General features: G+C 50.0%; 1 protein-coding gene across 4 annotated transcripts in view, besides 2 other annotated features; it reads left to right on the forward strand.

Moving 5' to 3' along the window:
* WFDC1 (WAP four-disulfide core domain 1) overlaps nucleotides 1-15,957 on the forward strand; it is a 34,967-nt gene that overhangs the window by 7,424 nt on the left and 11,586 nt on the right. For all 4 annotated transcript variants that reach the window (NM_021197.4, NM_001282466.2, NM_001282467.2 and 1 more), the window contains exon 2: nucleotides 10,660-10,852. In NM_021197.4, coding sequence (NP_067020.2) covers nucleotides 10,660-10,852 — 193 coding nt within the window. The remainder of the gene's footprint in view (nucleotides 1-10,659; nucleotides 10,853-15,957) is intronic.
* Nucleotides 4,251-5,450: an enhancer, noted in NCBI's record as "BRD4-independent group 4 enhancer chr16:84340158-84341357 (GRCh37/hg19 assembly coordinates)". NCBI's record gives its function as "activates an origin of replication core promoter dependent on BRD2, P300/CBP, MED14 and CDK7 cofactors, and independent of BRD4, by STARR-seq in HCT116 cells {active_cell/tissue: HCT116}" and the evidence as "EXISTENCE:reporter gene assay evidence [ECO:0000049][PMID:35650434]".
* Nucleotides 12,150-12,308: a silencer, noted in NCBI's record as "fragment chr16:84348057-84348215 (GRCh37/hg19 assembly coordinates)". NCBI's record gives its function as "represses an EF-1alpha promoter that drives an FKBP-Casp9 reporter gene in an ReSE screen in HepG2 liver carcinoma cells {active_cell/tissue: HepG2}" and the evidence as "EXISTENCE:reporter gene assay evidence [ECO:0000049][PMID:32094911]".

The raw sequence follows: 15,957 nt of genomic DNA on the forward strand, positions 1-15,957 counted from the left end.
ATCGTAAGTCTAATTAATGCCGCCAACTCGCACACTTAAGATGGCTGAAATGGAAAATTGCATGTTATATATATTTTACCACAATAATTTTTCTAAAAAGCAGCGAGAACCTGAGGCACCTCTCGGGAATTCTGCGATGGCACATAGAGTCCTTGTGAGTCCTCTGTGTCCCCAGCACCGAGAGGCAGCCTCTCAGCAAGTGTCCGCTCACGGTGCCCACTCCGGCTCGTGGGTCATCGTAGCTTCACGCCCATCTCCTCCGAGGCCTCTCCCTGAATGCCCCATTATGATTTCCCTTAAATGTTTACATAAGAGCCCAGCTCTTCCTTCTTAGCATTTAGCTCTGTTGTTGTTATTGGCATGATTTGTTTAGGTTTCTCTCTAACTGCTTTTGCAGATGACCACAAAAAGCAATTCGTTCGCCTTATCTGTGTGCTGTTGTGTGTGGTGTCTCTGACTTGTCCTGAAACAGCCACGTGAAGTCAGGGCCAACGTCTTCTGGTTCAACTCGGAACTCCCCATTTCCAGCCCAGCGCCCGAAACCCAGTGGGCCTGGGAATTATGAATTTACTGTTGAATGAATGAATCAATTATGTTAAAACCTTCCGGAACAGAATAGAAGGGATGGAAAGTTCTAGAGGACTCTCGGGTGCACTGACTGACAATGACATTGTTGGGAAGACTTGGTCGACTTTGCCGTCTCGTGAATTTCTTTCTTTCTTTTTTTTTTTTTTTTGGCCTCCCTCTGAGGAAGTCCCATTAACCTTGTGCCAAATTCTGTCCCCAGAGCCCAGTGTTAAGGGCCCCGGGCACCAGGAAATGGCATTCATCTACGCACGCTGAACTCTAAGCCCACTGTTCCGGGGAGCGACATATTTTTAGATGTTTGACGTCCAAATTCCAGAGGAAGAGCAAGTAATGCTTAGAGGAAAACTGGCTTTCTTCCTCCACCACGCAAACCAGTGCTGGGGTGCATTTTTATTGGTCTGGCCGCTAAGCTGCTGGAACTTTCCAAAGAAGGGTAAAAGCTCCTGCATGTGGAAGGAAGGGGGTGGTGAGCACTGAGGGAGGCATGTGGGTAGCTTTGGTGGCAGCTCTGGAGATTGGATTCTTTTTCCCTAAATGGAAGTGGTTTATAAATTCTTCTACTGATTATTAAAAGAATGATGTTTACTGTAAAAAAAAAAAAAAGTCAGGCAACACAGAAAGTTATAAATTAGTAGAAATGATCTGAATTCTTCCTCCAAGATGTAAACTCTGGTGACATTCTGGGGTGTCTGTCTAGATTGTTTCATGAAGCAGTTACACACAGCACACGTGTTTTCTCTTAGTGGTATTTTATTCGTACTGATTCAGATTTCTTTTATTGAAATGAAATTCACATGACAGACAATTCACCCTTTCAAAGGTACAATTCAGTGGTGTTTAGTATACTCAGAGTCATGCAACCGTCCTAACTGCCTAGTTTTGGAACGTTCCCATCAACCCTACAGGAAACCCTGCAGCCATTAGCCGTCAGTCCTCCTTCCCTCTTCCCGCAGCCTCTGGCAACTACCAATCCACTTTCTGTCTTTATGGATCTGCCTGTTGTAGACGTTTCATGGAAATGGAATCATCCAGTATGTGCTATTTGGTGTCTGGCTTATTCACACTGTTTTATATGTTGCATTTTCACTTAATAATCTGTGGGAAGTATGTTAACATGGTGGATCGACATCTTCCTTTCTAAGGCCTGCCTGGTGTTCTCTGTGCCTTCACTTATGTATCCAGCCTCTTTTGGTTGCACATCCAGCTTGTTTGCTTTAATTGAATCTGGACTTGGACTTGCTGAATTGGGGTTCCCACTGCTGCAGCCCAAAATGGGCATTTCCCCACCTGCTTCCTAGGGATATCAGTGGCAGAATGGCTTTGCAAATCTATTTTTGTTCATCTATATGAACAAAAGGTCATATAGTTTCACTCTTGTCACCCAGGCTGGATTGCAGTGGTGCCGTCTGGCTCACTGCAACTTCTGCCTGCGTGGTTCAAATGATTCTCCTGCCTCAGCCTCCTGAATAGCTGGGATTATAGGCACCCGCCACCACGCCTGGCTAGTTTTTGTATTTTTAGTAGAGACGGGTTTCACCATATTGGCCAGGCTGGTCTCGAACTCCTGACCTCAGGTGATCCACCTGCCTTGGCCTCCCAAAGTGCTGGGATTATAGGTGTGAGCCACCGCGCCCGGCCAGGAATCATTTTTATCCAGGTAAGGCATACAGAACCGGAGGGTTCTTGTCTAAGTTGTACCATGAATGTGTGCTCAGTGGCTACTTTGAAATAGACTTACTGTACAATCCCTGAGCAGGAATGAAAATAAAAGCTGGAAATCACGGGTTGCTCTGGGGTTTTCAGGAAGGTGTCGTCCGTCTGGGGTGAGTGTCCTCCTTTCTCAGGGATTTCATGTGGCATTATTTTGTTTTCATCTGAGAGGCAACATAAGCTGGGAGGGAAGGGCTGCAAAGAGGGGGCCAGGACAAATGTGTACCTGGGGGCCCCCATTTTGACTCCACCCTGAGCTGGGGCTGGGCCACAGGAGGGCAGAGGGAACACTTTGGGAGGGGGAGAGAGCCCCTGGACTGAAAGAATGGGAAGAAATTGACAGGCACCATTGGGAAGCAACTCCCAGTTCCAGGCTCCTGGGTCAGGAACGCCCATGGAGTAGGACAGACCCAGGTTCGAGTCCTGCCTCTGACTCTTCTCAGCTGCTTGCTCTTGGGCAAATGCTTTTAGTTTTTTTGTGCCTCAGTTTCCTCATCAGTAAAGTGGGTTTAGAATAGCAGCAGCCCCAGAGGGTGATACTGAAGATTCAGTATGTGAGGACCCAGCACAGCATTGGCACACAGTAAGAGCTTACTAAATGCTGCCTCCCTTGCCATAAGCATGAATCACACAGCCCAGGCTCTAAGCCTGGTGTCTGTGTATGGTGACTGTGTGCCTCCGTTTCCTCACCTATGCAATGGGGACAGCAGTGGTACCTACTGGGGAGGGCTGGAGGCGACTTCAGGTGGTCCTCCGAGGGCAGTGCTCTTGCACATGCTGGGTGGCTGTTTCCGCATGGCCCCTTCTCTTAGGAACTCTGCGAGTTGTTTGCCCTGGTCTTATCCAGAAATGATGAGGTTATATCCAATCCCACTTTTCACTGTTGCTGGTGGGTTTCTCGTACGTGTATCTGCAGCCTCAGCTGGACTGGAGCTCCTTAGGTTTCTTCTGCATCTGCTGAGCATCTAACCTAACGCTATGGAGATGGTGGGCGTTCACTAAATCATCTGGGAGTGAATTGAGGGAGGATACAGCGGAAATGAAGAAAGACTGGAAGATATGAAGAATGAAGTTACTATGGGACGAGAGGCTTCTGAGTCCATTGATTAAAAATAAAAGGAGCCAGGCGTGGTGGCTGACGCTTGTAATCCCAGCACTTTGGGAGGCTGAAGCAGGCAGATCACCTGAGCTCAGGAGTTCAAGACCATCCTGGGCAACAAGGCAAAACCCCATCTCTACTAAAAATACAAAATATTAGCCAGGCGTGGTGGCGGGCACCTGTAGTCCCAGCTACTTGGGAGGCTGAAGCATGAGAACTGGTTGAGTCTGGGAGGCGGAGGTTGCAGTGAGCTGAGATCGTGCCCTTGCACTCCAGCCTGGGTGACAGAGTGAGACCTTTTCTCAAAATAATAATAATAATAATAATAATAATAATAATAATAATAATAAAAGGAATAAAAATCAGGTGAACTATGGATTAGCATTGCCCGTGCTGAGCCGAGCACACGCAGGTGTGGTCTCTTTTGATCTTCACCACAGACATCGGCAGCAGGTATTACTTTTGTGTCCATTTTGCAGATGACGCTCAGATACGTTAGTGATTTTCCTGTATGATCGCACAGCCATGGGGTTCAAACCCAGACGCGTCAGACTCCTACACCTGAGCCCTTAATCCCTGTGCAAAGCAGCCTTTGATGTATAAGAGATCATGAGCTTCGGTCCCTTCCATCTTGGGATATGGCTCCTAAGTTCTTGCCCCAAAGGATGTGGAGGTTCAGCTGTGAAAAAGAGTTAGGAAGCGTTCCGAGTAGAAGGAACAGTGTGCGGAAGCCTCCAAGGCCAGGAGGAGCAGCGAATCCTCAGAAACTGAGGATGGCCGAGTCCAGCTTTACATTTTGAAAGCATCCTTCCTCATCTCTGGAGTGTGGGATATCAAGACCCACTCCCCTAATTCACATCCGCATTAAGTGAGCATAGGAGTGTGATGATGCTTGCCCATAGCACAGCCTTACACAAACAAAAGGGCTGCCCCCACACCTGTGCAGGACCCCTGCTCTGCAGAACCCACTGCACAGGGCCCATGTGCAGATCAGCGAGTTAATGCATGTTAAGCACTTAGAAGGGTGCCCAGCAAACTGCCAGGGTGTGTTGACCACCATCATCCTCATCTTCATCATCATCATCATCATCACAGCTTTTGTTCCACCCGAAGAATATTTACTGAGTACTTGCTATGTGCCAGGCACTGTTCTACGAGCCAGGGACACAGGTAAGAACAAAACCAAGTTCCTGTCCCTAGGAGGGAGAAAAACAGCAAACAAATGAGTTCATAATACACAGTCCACCCAAGGGTGATGAGGTGTGTGAAGCTCCACAAAGCAGGGAGAGGGGGAAGGGAAGGCTGTATGAGCAGATCCCAGGTAGGTGAGAGCCGGGCAGATATGGTGGGTGGGCGGGGAAAGAGCCAGTGCAAAGGCCCAGAGGTGGGACTGGGTGGCTGGAGAGAATGAGTAAGGAGGGGAGTGCTGGAAGAGAGGTCAGAGACGTGGAGGGGGTCAGGGGAGTCAATTCCAGTCCGACCTCTAGGCCAAGAACCTTGGCTGTTAACTCCTTTAACCCATGGGGCCAGGGATAAATTGGAGGGTAAGCTGTTCATGTCTCTGAGTAAAAGCTATTTCCCAGAACTCCAGAAAACGCCCTGTGTTTAGAACCCTCTTTGAGTGTCACCTTGCGTGACATGAAATATTTTTCAAAACATGTAATCCTTTAATCTGGGCCTCTCAGTGAAATCAGTGCTTTATCACTCACGACCATCTGTTGTTTCAGTCACGCAGTAAATAACTCGGGAGATGTGGCTTCTAAGGCGCTTATCTCTTTGTTCTCTCCAAATTCTGAGAAATGACATTTGAATTTTCCTCTGAGACGGCGGCACAGCTCAAATTGATCTCTGCGTACCCTCCCATCTGGGACTGCCATTAAGGAAGTCCCAGGACTGGGAGGCATTTGTGGTGGGTGAAAAGTGTTTTGCTTCTGATCACCAGGTTCCATTAAATTTCATAAATGAGGCTTCATCGAAAAATAAGCTGGGCGGAAAAATAAGCCGCCCCCTCCCGACGACGTACGGTGTATTCTTAACCACCCTCCGAAGGAGGCTGGGGCGCCTGTCATGTTAGATTAGGATTAAAAATTGCGGACCCCAACATGGGTCCAATGTAGTTAATTCTGCAGCAAGTGAACTGAGAGCTAATGGCGTGGGATTATGCACCTGCTGCGGCTGGAAAGTTATTGGTGGTGGTTACAGGGGTGAGGGAGATTGGGCGGAGAAAGGGGTGATAAAAGGTGATAAAAGGTCCACGCTCTGGTCTCCCCTCTGTCTTTGGGGAAAACCATTCACCTCCTTAAGGCCTCGTCTCCATATCCACCAAATGCCAGCTTAGTGGTCATTTTCACTTTTCGTGAATTTAACAGCCAATGTTTACAAGAGTAAAAAGAAGGGTTCTCTGGGTGAAGCAGGGATGGGGGCCAGGGGCCCCCCTCCCAGGCTTTCCTGCCGCACCACCCCCCGCTCCTGCTTGGCCATTCCTGCTCTCTGCCCCTCATGCCCTCAGTCTCAGGCCCTGAGGCTCCCTGGGGGCAGCTGAAAACCTCTGGCCTTGGTGATTCCACCAATTCCCAGGGGCACCCGGCCCGGACCTGTTCCCAGGGACCTGGTGCCCCCTGCAGGGCACTGGTGACACCGTGTGCAATTTGCAGCTACCCAGATAGGCACGCAGGAAGGACTGCGCTCGGTCCCAGCCAGGCAGGGACAGACACAGCCTCTGCTCTCAGTGTGGGGTGGCGAGGGCCTAAAAATGAAGAATCATACTAGAAACATCCCGACGAGTCTGGGGAAAGCTGCCCTCAGAAGGCTGTTTAAGCTGAGGACTAAAGGGTGATTTGGCCAATTGAAGCTGATGGGAGGCCTTCCAGGCAGAGGACCAGCACGTGCCAATGATGATCGGTGGCACTGTGCTAGATGCCAGCCTGAGTGTAGATGCCCGCCTGGGTGTACACTCCATCCTGAGTGTAGACACCAGCCTGGGTGTAGACGCCATCCTTGGTGTAGATGCCATCCTGAGTGTAGATGCCAGCCTGGGTGTAGACGCCATCCTGAGTGTAGATGCCAGCCTGGGTGTAGACGCCATGCTGAGTGTAGACGCCAGCCTGGGTGTAGATGCCATCCTCAGTGTAGATGCCAGCCTGGGTGTAGATGCCAGCCTGGGTGTAGACGCCAGCCTGGGCATAGATGCCATCCTGGGTGTAGACACCAGCCTGGGCATAGATGCCATCCTGGGTGTAGACACCATCCTGGGTGCAGACTCAGGATACCCCAGGAGGGAAGTTCTGTAGGGAGAAACTGATGCTTGCCCAAGGTCACACAGCAAGTGAGTGGCAGAGAGGATTTAAGCCCTAGAGCCGGGATTTGAACCAAGGCCGTTAGCTGTGGAGCCCGCTCTGGTTGCCCGTCTGCTCTGCCGGATGAGACAAGCTCAGCTGGAGGAAACGGTTTGAAGAGATGAATGTGCTTGGAGGGCGAGGGGAGGAGGGAGGGCAGTTTGCTGGCATGTAAGGACAAGGAGGGTCGGGGCGATGAGATGAGGCCAATGTATCCTATATCTAAGTTATTAAATCGAAAAAGTAACATGTACCTGGTTGGCGCAGGGCTCGGAGGTCGAGTGGGGAGCTGGGACTTTGTCCCGAGGGTGCTGGGAAGCCTCTGGGGCCTTGGAGCACAGAGGTGACCAAATCCACAGGTGCCTTTCATAAAGCCTCTTTGGGCTGCAGTTTGGAGAATGGATGGATTTGGAGGCATCGAGGCCAGGGACGAGGCCACTGTGGAGGCACTGATGGGGACTTGGGCCTGGGGTGGGGTTCATTTATAGAATGTGCCTGGCAGAGGGACAGATATCAAGTTTCCAGGGGCCGCCGTAACAAATGACCACAAACTGGGGTGGGAGGGGTGGTTAAGCCAACAGAAATGAATTGTCTCATGGTTCTGGGGCCAGAAGTTCAGCATCAGCTTCACTGGACTGAGATCAAGGGGTCAGCAGAGCCGCGCCCCCCCAACTCCAGAGGTTCCTTCCTTGCCAATCCCTGTTCCGGTGGCTGCTGGCAATCATGGTCACTCCTTGGTCTGTAGACGCCATCTCTGCCTCCCTCTTCACATGACTTTCTTGTGTGCATGTGTGTGTGCGTGCGTGTGTACATGTGTGTGTGGGGGGGGCGTGCTTGTGTGTGTGTGTGTGTGTGATCTCCCTCTGCTCCCCTCTTCTCAGACACTTGTGACTGGATTTAGGGCCCACTGGAAAATGCAGAATCATCTCCCCATGTCAAGATCCTTAACCTAATTGCGTCTGCAAAGACCCTTTTTCCTTTGCATTTAGGATTCCAGGGAGTAGGGCCTGGTGTCTTTGGGGACCTTTATTCAGCCAACTGTATGTGCAGGAGGAGACACAGGAGGCTCGAGGCCCTCCCTTGAAGGGGTCGCTCACTGGTTAAATGCGATGGCGGATTTCTATTAAGACACCGAGAAAGAGTGACAAGGGAGGGTGGGTGTGGGACATAGAAGCGGGGGTGGTGTGGCCCTAACCCTGGCCTGGGAGGGCTGGTGTCACCGAAGCACATCCCAGCCTTGAGCGCTGATTTGAGTCTCGGGGAATGGTCCCTCTGGAAGACCTGAAGGAACGGGCATTCGGCAGAGGATCAGCACGGGCAAAGGCCTGGAGGTGACGGCGCCCACACTGTCATCAAAGCAGCTTCAGTAGCTTTGTGAGGTTCTGTGAGTCAAGTCTAGATTAAGCCAGGACTTGGATGATGTGCCCTCGCTCTGCATGGAGACTGCCTTTAAATTGAAGAAGAATGTGTACATGGTAAAAAGACATTGAACCACTGCAGAAGGGTGTACAATAGAAAGAAATCTCTCTCAGCTTTACACCCTATTCTTCTCTCCAAAGGCACCTTTCCTAATGGTTTCTTGTGTGATCTTGTGTATCCTTCCAAAAACGTTCTCAGCCTATGCAAATAGATATATATATGTTACATCTGTGTGCATTTTTTTAAAAACACAGATGGGGCAGAGCCTACACGCTGTTCCGAACCGTGGTTTTCTTCATGAGCCGCCATATCCTGGCGATCTTTCATATGTGGCACATTGAGTCTTATTTCATTTTTTGCCAACACCTTAAAGGCAGGTTTTCATGGCTGTCTACTATTCCAATTTGCAGATATGCCCTATGTACTGGGCCAGCACAAGGGGGCCAGATTTTGAATATGTTGGGGGAGGACTTGTGGGGAGGTAAGTAGGTGAAGCATTTTAGATTAAAGGAACAGTTTAGGCAGAGGCCAGGAGGCAGCGCAAGCCAGGGTGGTTTTTTTCCAATTAATCTATCCTGTATCTAACTCTGTGTGTGTGTGCAAATGAGCACAAACTGCTCACCACGCACCCCATTTTCATAGAAGCAGAAGAGTGTTACTGGGCCTGGATGGAGTCTGGTGTCAGGGGACCCAGGGCAGTTTGCCTGGTGGCTTAAACTTTCTCGGTCTTACCTTTAAAATATTGATCTTATTGGTCACTCACCCATATTCCTATATGTTAAGTACAGTACTATATCTTTTTTTTTTTTGGAGATGGAGTCTCACTCTGTCACCCAGCCTGGAGTGCAATGGCTCGATCTTGGCTCACTGCAAGCTCCGACTCCCAGGTCCACACCATTCTCCTACAGGTGCTCGCCACCACGCCCGGCTAATTTTTTTTCTTTTTTTTGTATTTTTAGTAGAGACGGGGTTTCACCGTGTTAGCCAGGATGGTCTCGATCTCCTGACCTCATGATCCACCTACCTTGGCCTCCCAAAGTGCTGGGATTACAGGTGTGAGCCACTGCGCCTGGACTTTTTTTTTTTTTTTTTTTTTAACAGGGTCTCACTCTATTGCCCAGGCTGGAGGGGAGTAGTGCGATCACAGCTCACTGCAGCCTTGACCTCCTGGGATCAAACCATCCTCCCGCCTCAGCCTCCCAAGTACCTGGGACTACAGGAGAGAATGAGCATGCCTGACTGCTTTTTTTTTTTTTTTTTTTTTAGTGGAGAAGGGGTTTCGCTATGTTGGCCAGCCTGGTCTCAAAACTTCTGAGCTCAAGTGATTCACCCACCTTGACTTCTGGAAATGCTGGGATTATACGCTTGTGTGCCACAGCACCTGGCCCCTATATCTTATTTTTGAACTTTTTATTAAAACATAATACTTCGGGCCAGGCGCGGTGGCTCACACCTGTAATCCCAGCACTTTGGGAGGCTGAGGCAGGCGGATCACCTGAGGTAGGGAGGTCCAGACCAGCCTGGCCAACATGTAGAAACCCTGTCTCTACTAAAAATACAAAATTAGCCGGGTGTGGTGGCACATGCCTCTAATCCCAGCTACTCGGGAGGCTGAGGCAGGAGAATCGCTTGAACCCAGGAGGTGGAGGTTGTGGTGAGCTGAGATCGCGCCACTGCATTCCAGCCTGGGCAACAAGAGCGAAACTCCGTCTCAAAAACAAAACAAAACAAACAAACAAAAAATACTTCAAAGCGTATAAATCCTACGTGTTCAGCTCCATGAATTCCCACAAAATAAACACACCATGTAACCAGCCCCCAGACCAAGAAACAGAACAGAGCCAGTCCCAAGACCACGTGTTCCCAGCCAGTCACTGCCCACCAGATTCCTGACTTCTCATGCCAGACATCAGCTTGGCCTGTTTTTGAGCTGCAAATATAAGTGGAATCCCACTGTGGTGTTCTCTTTTGATCTGGCTTTTTTCCTTTCTTTATTTTCTGAGATGTAGCGATGTTGTTGCATGGATTTAATGATTCTGTGTATAATTTGTAAATTCTCAAAGCTCTATATAAACATGGATTCTAAGAAATCCACACATATGTACATATACATATGTACATATAGACATATGTGTGTACGTATATGTATACATGCAGACATATATGTATATACACATATATACCACATATATTATGTATTATGTATCATCTCTCTCTCACACCGGGTAGATACTTAAGTAATTGTCCTTCAGCAAACACACCAAGATTTGCTTATCCTTTTGCTCTGGGCTTTCAGTTATTTCGTGCCGACTGTTATAAAAAGATACATGGTATCTTCTGACCTTCTGAGCCGCCCTCCGAGGCTGGCTCTGCCTGCTTGCTGTTTCTCACAAGAGGAAACGCAGGCTCAGAGAGGCCCGGCGCACTGCCCACCCCCTTGCAAGCTCCGGGTGGCGCCGGGACTCGAACGCGCGCCCCAGAGCTGCTGACACCGCCCTCTCCCCGCAGGCCGAGGAGGCGGGCGCGCCCGGCGGCCCCCGGCAGCCCCGAGCAGACCGCTGCCCGCCGCCTCCGCGGACGCTGCCCCCCGGCGCCTGCCAGGCCGCGCGCTGTCAGGCGGACTCCGAGTGCCCGCGGCACCGGCGCTGCTGCTACAACGGATGCGCCTACGCCTGCCTAGAAGCTGTGCCGCCCCCGCCAGGTAGGTCCTGGGCCCGAGGGAGGGGGCTGAGGGAGGAGGACAGGTGAACAGAGCTGTCCCGGGGGAGGGGAAGAAAGGAGCTGGGCTTAAAGCTGGGCCACCTGGGCGGGTCTCGGGCGCCTCCACTGCGCACCTGTGAACTGGGACGGGCGCTCCTTGAGCAGGCGTGGCGCTGCTGTGCAGCTGCTGTGTGTCCCACTGCCCCTGGGGACTTGCGTTGTAGGAGATGCCCTTCCAGAGAAAATGCCACTTCCTATGAAAATGGGATGGGGGCAGGGACCCTAGATGCCTCCAGGGAGCCACAGTCCAGCAGACACCCATTCCCGGGAAAATGCCCGCTGATAGGATGCGGGTGCAGTGGGATTTCTCATTTAAAAGATCAAGATTCGAGGCTTTTCTTTAAAATACCGGACCATGTTCCCTGGGCTGCCACCAGCTGGAACCTCAGGTGCCCCTGGATGAGGAGGTGTCCTCTAGCTTCCCACTCACCCCATCAACCCACCAGGCCCGCCACACTTCTCATGCCTGGCCCTGGGGTATTTGAGGTGGAGACCAGGAGCTTAGCAATCCAGATGGGGCGTGCCCCAGAGAGGAGCGGGTGCGTGGCTTCAGATCCACCGGCCAGCTGTCACTTTCTTGAGTCTCCTCTCCTGTGAAATGGGTGGATCACCTGAGGTCAGGAGTTCAAGACCAGTCTGGGCAACATGCTGAAACCCCGTCTCTACTAAAAATACAAAAATTAGCCAGGCGTGGTGGCAGGAGCCTCAAATCCCAGCTACTTGGGAGACTGAGGCAGGAGAATCACTTGAACCCAGGAGGTGGAGCTTGCAGTGAGCCAAGGTTGTGCCATTGCACTCCAGCGTGGGTGACAAAGTGAGACTCTGTCTCAAAAAAAAAAAGAAAGAAAAAGAAAAGAAAAGACAACGTGCAGCTCACGGTGGACCTGCCACTCCAAAGTGCTCAGCACTGCGCGGGGCTGGGAGCAGATAATGAGATGTGTGTTGAATCACGATGCCAACCTCTCGGGGAGAAACAATGTTCAGGGATTCATCATTGGCAGGACGGAGTTTCAGATCCCTTTTGAAGAGAAGGTTTGGGAAGGGAAGGAGGTGACCCCGTCGGGGACAGTAAGTGGGGAGTAGGGTAGACAAGTAGCTATTTCCTGGGGAAAATGTGCCCTTGGGTGGGGAAAATGTGCCCCTAAGCGGGTAGGATTTGCGGCAAGGAAGTCTTCTCCACCCTCGGCTCTGCTCAGGGTGATAACAACAGCTGTTTGGACTGTACCTTCCACGAGAGGCTGTGGGTTCCCATGGGCCTTAATTAGGGAAGGCGGCTCGAGAAGGTGGCCCAGCCCCTCCTCCCAAGGCTGAGAGGAGAGTCAGAGATGGCAAGGATGACCTCACTTTGTTTTCTTTGGGGTGAGGTCACAGCGATGACAGGGGACTCAGCACACTTAATCATGCTCATAATTACAGTCTTATAATGCTCATCAAGACAGACAGGGACTATTTCAGTACTGCCTCTGGGCAGGAACTGGCCGCTGCTCCAGGCCAGGCAGCCTCCTACTCAGCCTTCATAAGAAAACCTAAATGTTGCCCCTCATGGTGGACAAGCACATAAAGGCACTCCCCTCTGGGTGGACTTATCAAAAATGGTGCCCCTTCCTCTGGAATGTGACCTGACATAGGGATTCTAGCCTTGCCTCCTGCCTATAGCAGGTGCTTTTGAGCAGTGCACAGATGATACAACTGTACATGGCATTCCCAATAGCCTTTTCATACATCATCTCGTTTCACGCTCACACAGCTTGATGAGATGACTGTTATCAGCCCTGTGTCACAACTGAAGCTCAGAGAAGCTGAATCATTTGCCCAAGGTCACACAGCAGGCAGACCTGCAGTTTCCATCCAGTTGTCTGACTGTAGAGAAGTGTTCATTGCCTTAGGCCGTGAGTGTGGGAATGTGGAGCCCCTGCCCTGGCACCTGTACCCACGTGTGGGGTCCTTCATTGCCAGGAATATCCTCCCCCAGACATCCCATGGCTCACTTCCTTGCCTCCTTTAGACCTATTTCCAAAGGCCACTTTTCAGGAAAGATTTCCCTCTCTCAATGACAGCCCCTCCTTGGCCATTTTTAAACCCTCCATCCCTGTTTAATTTTTCTCTGTAGCGTAATCTGGAAGACTGTGTTTTACTTGTTTGTTCATTGACTGTTCTCTCCCCACTTGAAGGTCAGCCCCACAGGGCAGGGAGTTTGTCTTTCATTCACTGCTGTAACCCCAGCATCTAAAACGGTCTCTGGGCATATAATACTCAATAAATATTCACTCATTCATTCATTCACTAGCCAGCAGGAAGAGCAATCATACTACTAGTGAGTAATAACAACAATGCTGTCTAACACCAGATTTCACAATCTTGGCATATTGACATTTGGGATTGGTTGATTCTACTTGCTGGGCAGGGGGGCGCTCTCCCGTGCACTGTAGGATGGTCAGCGGCTTCCTTGGCCCTTCCCCACCAGATGCCAGTAGCAACCTCTACCCCAAGTTGTGACAACCAAAAATGTCTCTAATCTTTCCTAAATGCTCTCTGGGGAACAAAATCGCTCTGCATTGAGAAACACTGGTCTAACTCAGGCCCTGTTCCAGGCACCTTACTTCTTCATTGCCATCTGGATTTGGGTCTGTCCAAAGCAGACCCAGAGACAAGGACTTGGGCCCAGGTTGTTTATTTGGGAGGTGATCCCAGGTAGTTCCAGTGAGGTCATGAAGAGCTGAGACCCCAGGGCCACCAGGCCTTTAAGGGTCTTCAACTAGAGTAATGGGGAGCCCGGACCAAGTTTCACTACTCCAAACATTTGCTTATTTCCCTGCTGCTCAGAAGCCTTTGATCAAGGCAAAAGAGAATACAAACAGCACATATTACTACGTTTCCCACCTGAAAATGTTTCCTAACACGTGGTCTGATGTGGTGGTGGAAAGGAGGGAAGAACCGAAAGGTTGCGTATAGAGGCTGAAGAACCATCGCGTCATTCCTGTTTTGGAGGTCACAGACTGCTGGCTCCTTTCTCTGCTGTTCCAACTTCCATGTCATTATAATCAGTATAATCAGCGAGTGCTCCTTTACAGAAAAAGCTAACCAGCATTTTTACCAGTACCCATCAATATACTTTAAAAGATGCTAATTATTTTTCTATTCTCTTTATAAAGATAAATATTAGTAATTTTTATTTTTGTCTTACTTTGGAGTCAAACGAATGCAGAGGTCACAAGCAAATGTGATCCCAGAACAGTTTTGATCTCCAACATGCTTAAAGTTTTCTGCCCAGGCACGGTGGCTCACACCTGTAATCCCAGCACTTTGGGAGGCCAAAGCAGGAGGATCACGCGAGGCCAGGAGTTTGGGACCAGCCTGGGCAACATAGGGAGACCGCCTATCTCTGTAGAATAATCATCATCATCATCATTAGTAAAAAAAGTTTTAAAATTACTTGTCAACACTTAAAAACCAGAAGATTTCTATTTTTAAAAATACAGACTTGGCCGGGTGTGGTGGCTCATGCCTGTGATACCAGCACTTTGGGAGGGCAAGGCGGGTAGATCACCTGAGGTCAGGAGTTCTAGACCACCCTGGCCAACATGGCAAAAACCCGTCTCTACTAAAAATACAAAAATTAGCCAGGCATGGTGATGCGTGCCTGTAATCCCAGCTACTTGGGAGACTGAGGCAGGAGACTCGCTTGAACCCGGAAGGCAGAGGTTGCAATGAGCCAAGATTGCGCCATTGCACTCCAGCCTGGGCGACAAGAGTGAAACTTTGTCTCAAAAAAAAAAAAGAAAAAAATACAGACTTACAGTCCGGGTGCAGTGGCTCACTCCTGTAATCCCAGCACTTTGGGAGGCCGAAGGGGGTGGATCACTTGAGGCCAGGAGTTCAAGACCAGCCTGGGCAACATGGCAAAACCCCATCTCTACTAAAAATACAAAAATTAGCCAGGCGTGGTGGCACATGCCTGTAATCCCAGCTACTCGGGAGACTGAGAGAGGAGAACTGCCTGAACCTGGGAGGCAGAGGTTGCAATGAGCTGAGATCGTGCCACTACCCTTCAGCCTGGGTGACAGAACAAGACTCTGTCTCAAAATAAATAAATAAATAAATAAATAAATAAATAAATAAATAAATAAGAAGTAAATAAATAAATAGAATAAGAACTTACAGTAAGAAAAAAAATAAAACAGTCTGGGAGCATTGGAAATGACTGGTCAGGGCTAACCAGCAGCTGATTCATCCAGGCAGGAGGCACTCTCTGCTTTGCTGTGGCCCTGCCTGGTCTGTTTTCCTGTCCCCTAGAGGCATTTGAGTTTTCGACCCCTGCCTTTTGAAGGCCTTCCCATAAACTGTGTGGGTGACTCTTTCTGTTAAAACCAGGTATATTGGTTATACCTGGGTGATGGGATCACCTGTACACCAAACTTCACCCATACACCAAACTTCAGTGACATACAATTTACCTGTGCAACAAACCTGCATGTGTACCCCCGAACCTAAAAATTAAAAAAATAAAGTATTAGTTAGAGAACAGGCTATGCTGCTGCAACAAAAAGACCCATAAATACAGGGACCCAACCTGTGAGGCATTTTCTTCTCTCTCAGCTATTAGTGCAGAGACAGACATTTGTGGTAGGCAGGTAGCTCTGCTCGCAAAGCCATCTAGGGACCCAGCTTCCTTCCTTCTTGCCACTCTGCAGTCTGACTGATGTCCTTGTCCACATGGTCAGAATGGCCCCCAGCCTGCAGGAAGGAAAAGAGGGAGGGAGAGGAGCAGAGAGCCCCGATTGGAGGGTGAGACAGGAAGTTGCATGGTCACTGCTGCTCACATCTTTGTAGCTGCAAGGGAGGCAGGGAAGGCTAGTCCCCAGCTTTGTGGCCCAGTGCCCAGCCCACAGTGAAAGGTTCTATCACTAAAAGCAAAGGGTGAAGGTGTGCCAGGAACCATAGTTATTTCTCCCATGGGGAGCCTCTGTGCTGTCATGAAGTTGGGGTGCCCCCAGCCCCCAAGCCTGGGCGTTTCTCAGCTGCTTGAGGAGGGCCCTGATCTGACCC

This window comes from Homo sapiens, chromosome 16, assembly GCF_000001405.40.
Source record: "Homo sapiens chromosome 16, GRCh38.p14 Primary Assembly".
NCBI lineage: Eukaryota > Metazoa > Chordata > Mammalia > Primates > Hominidae > Homo > Homo sapiens.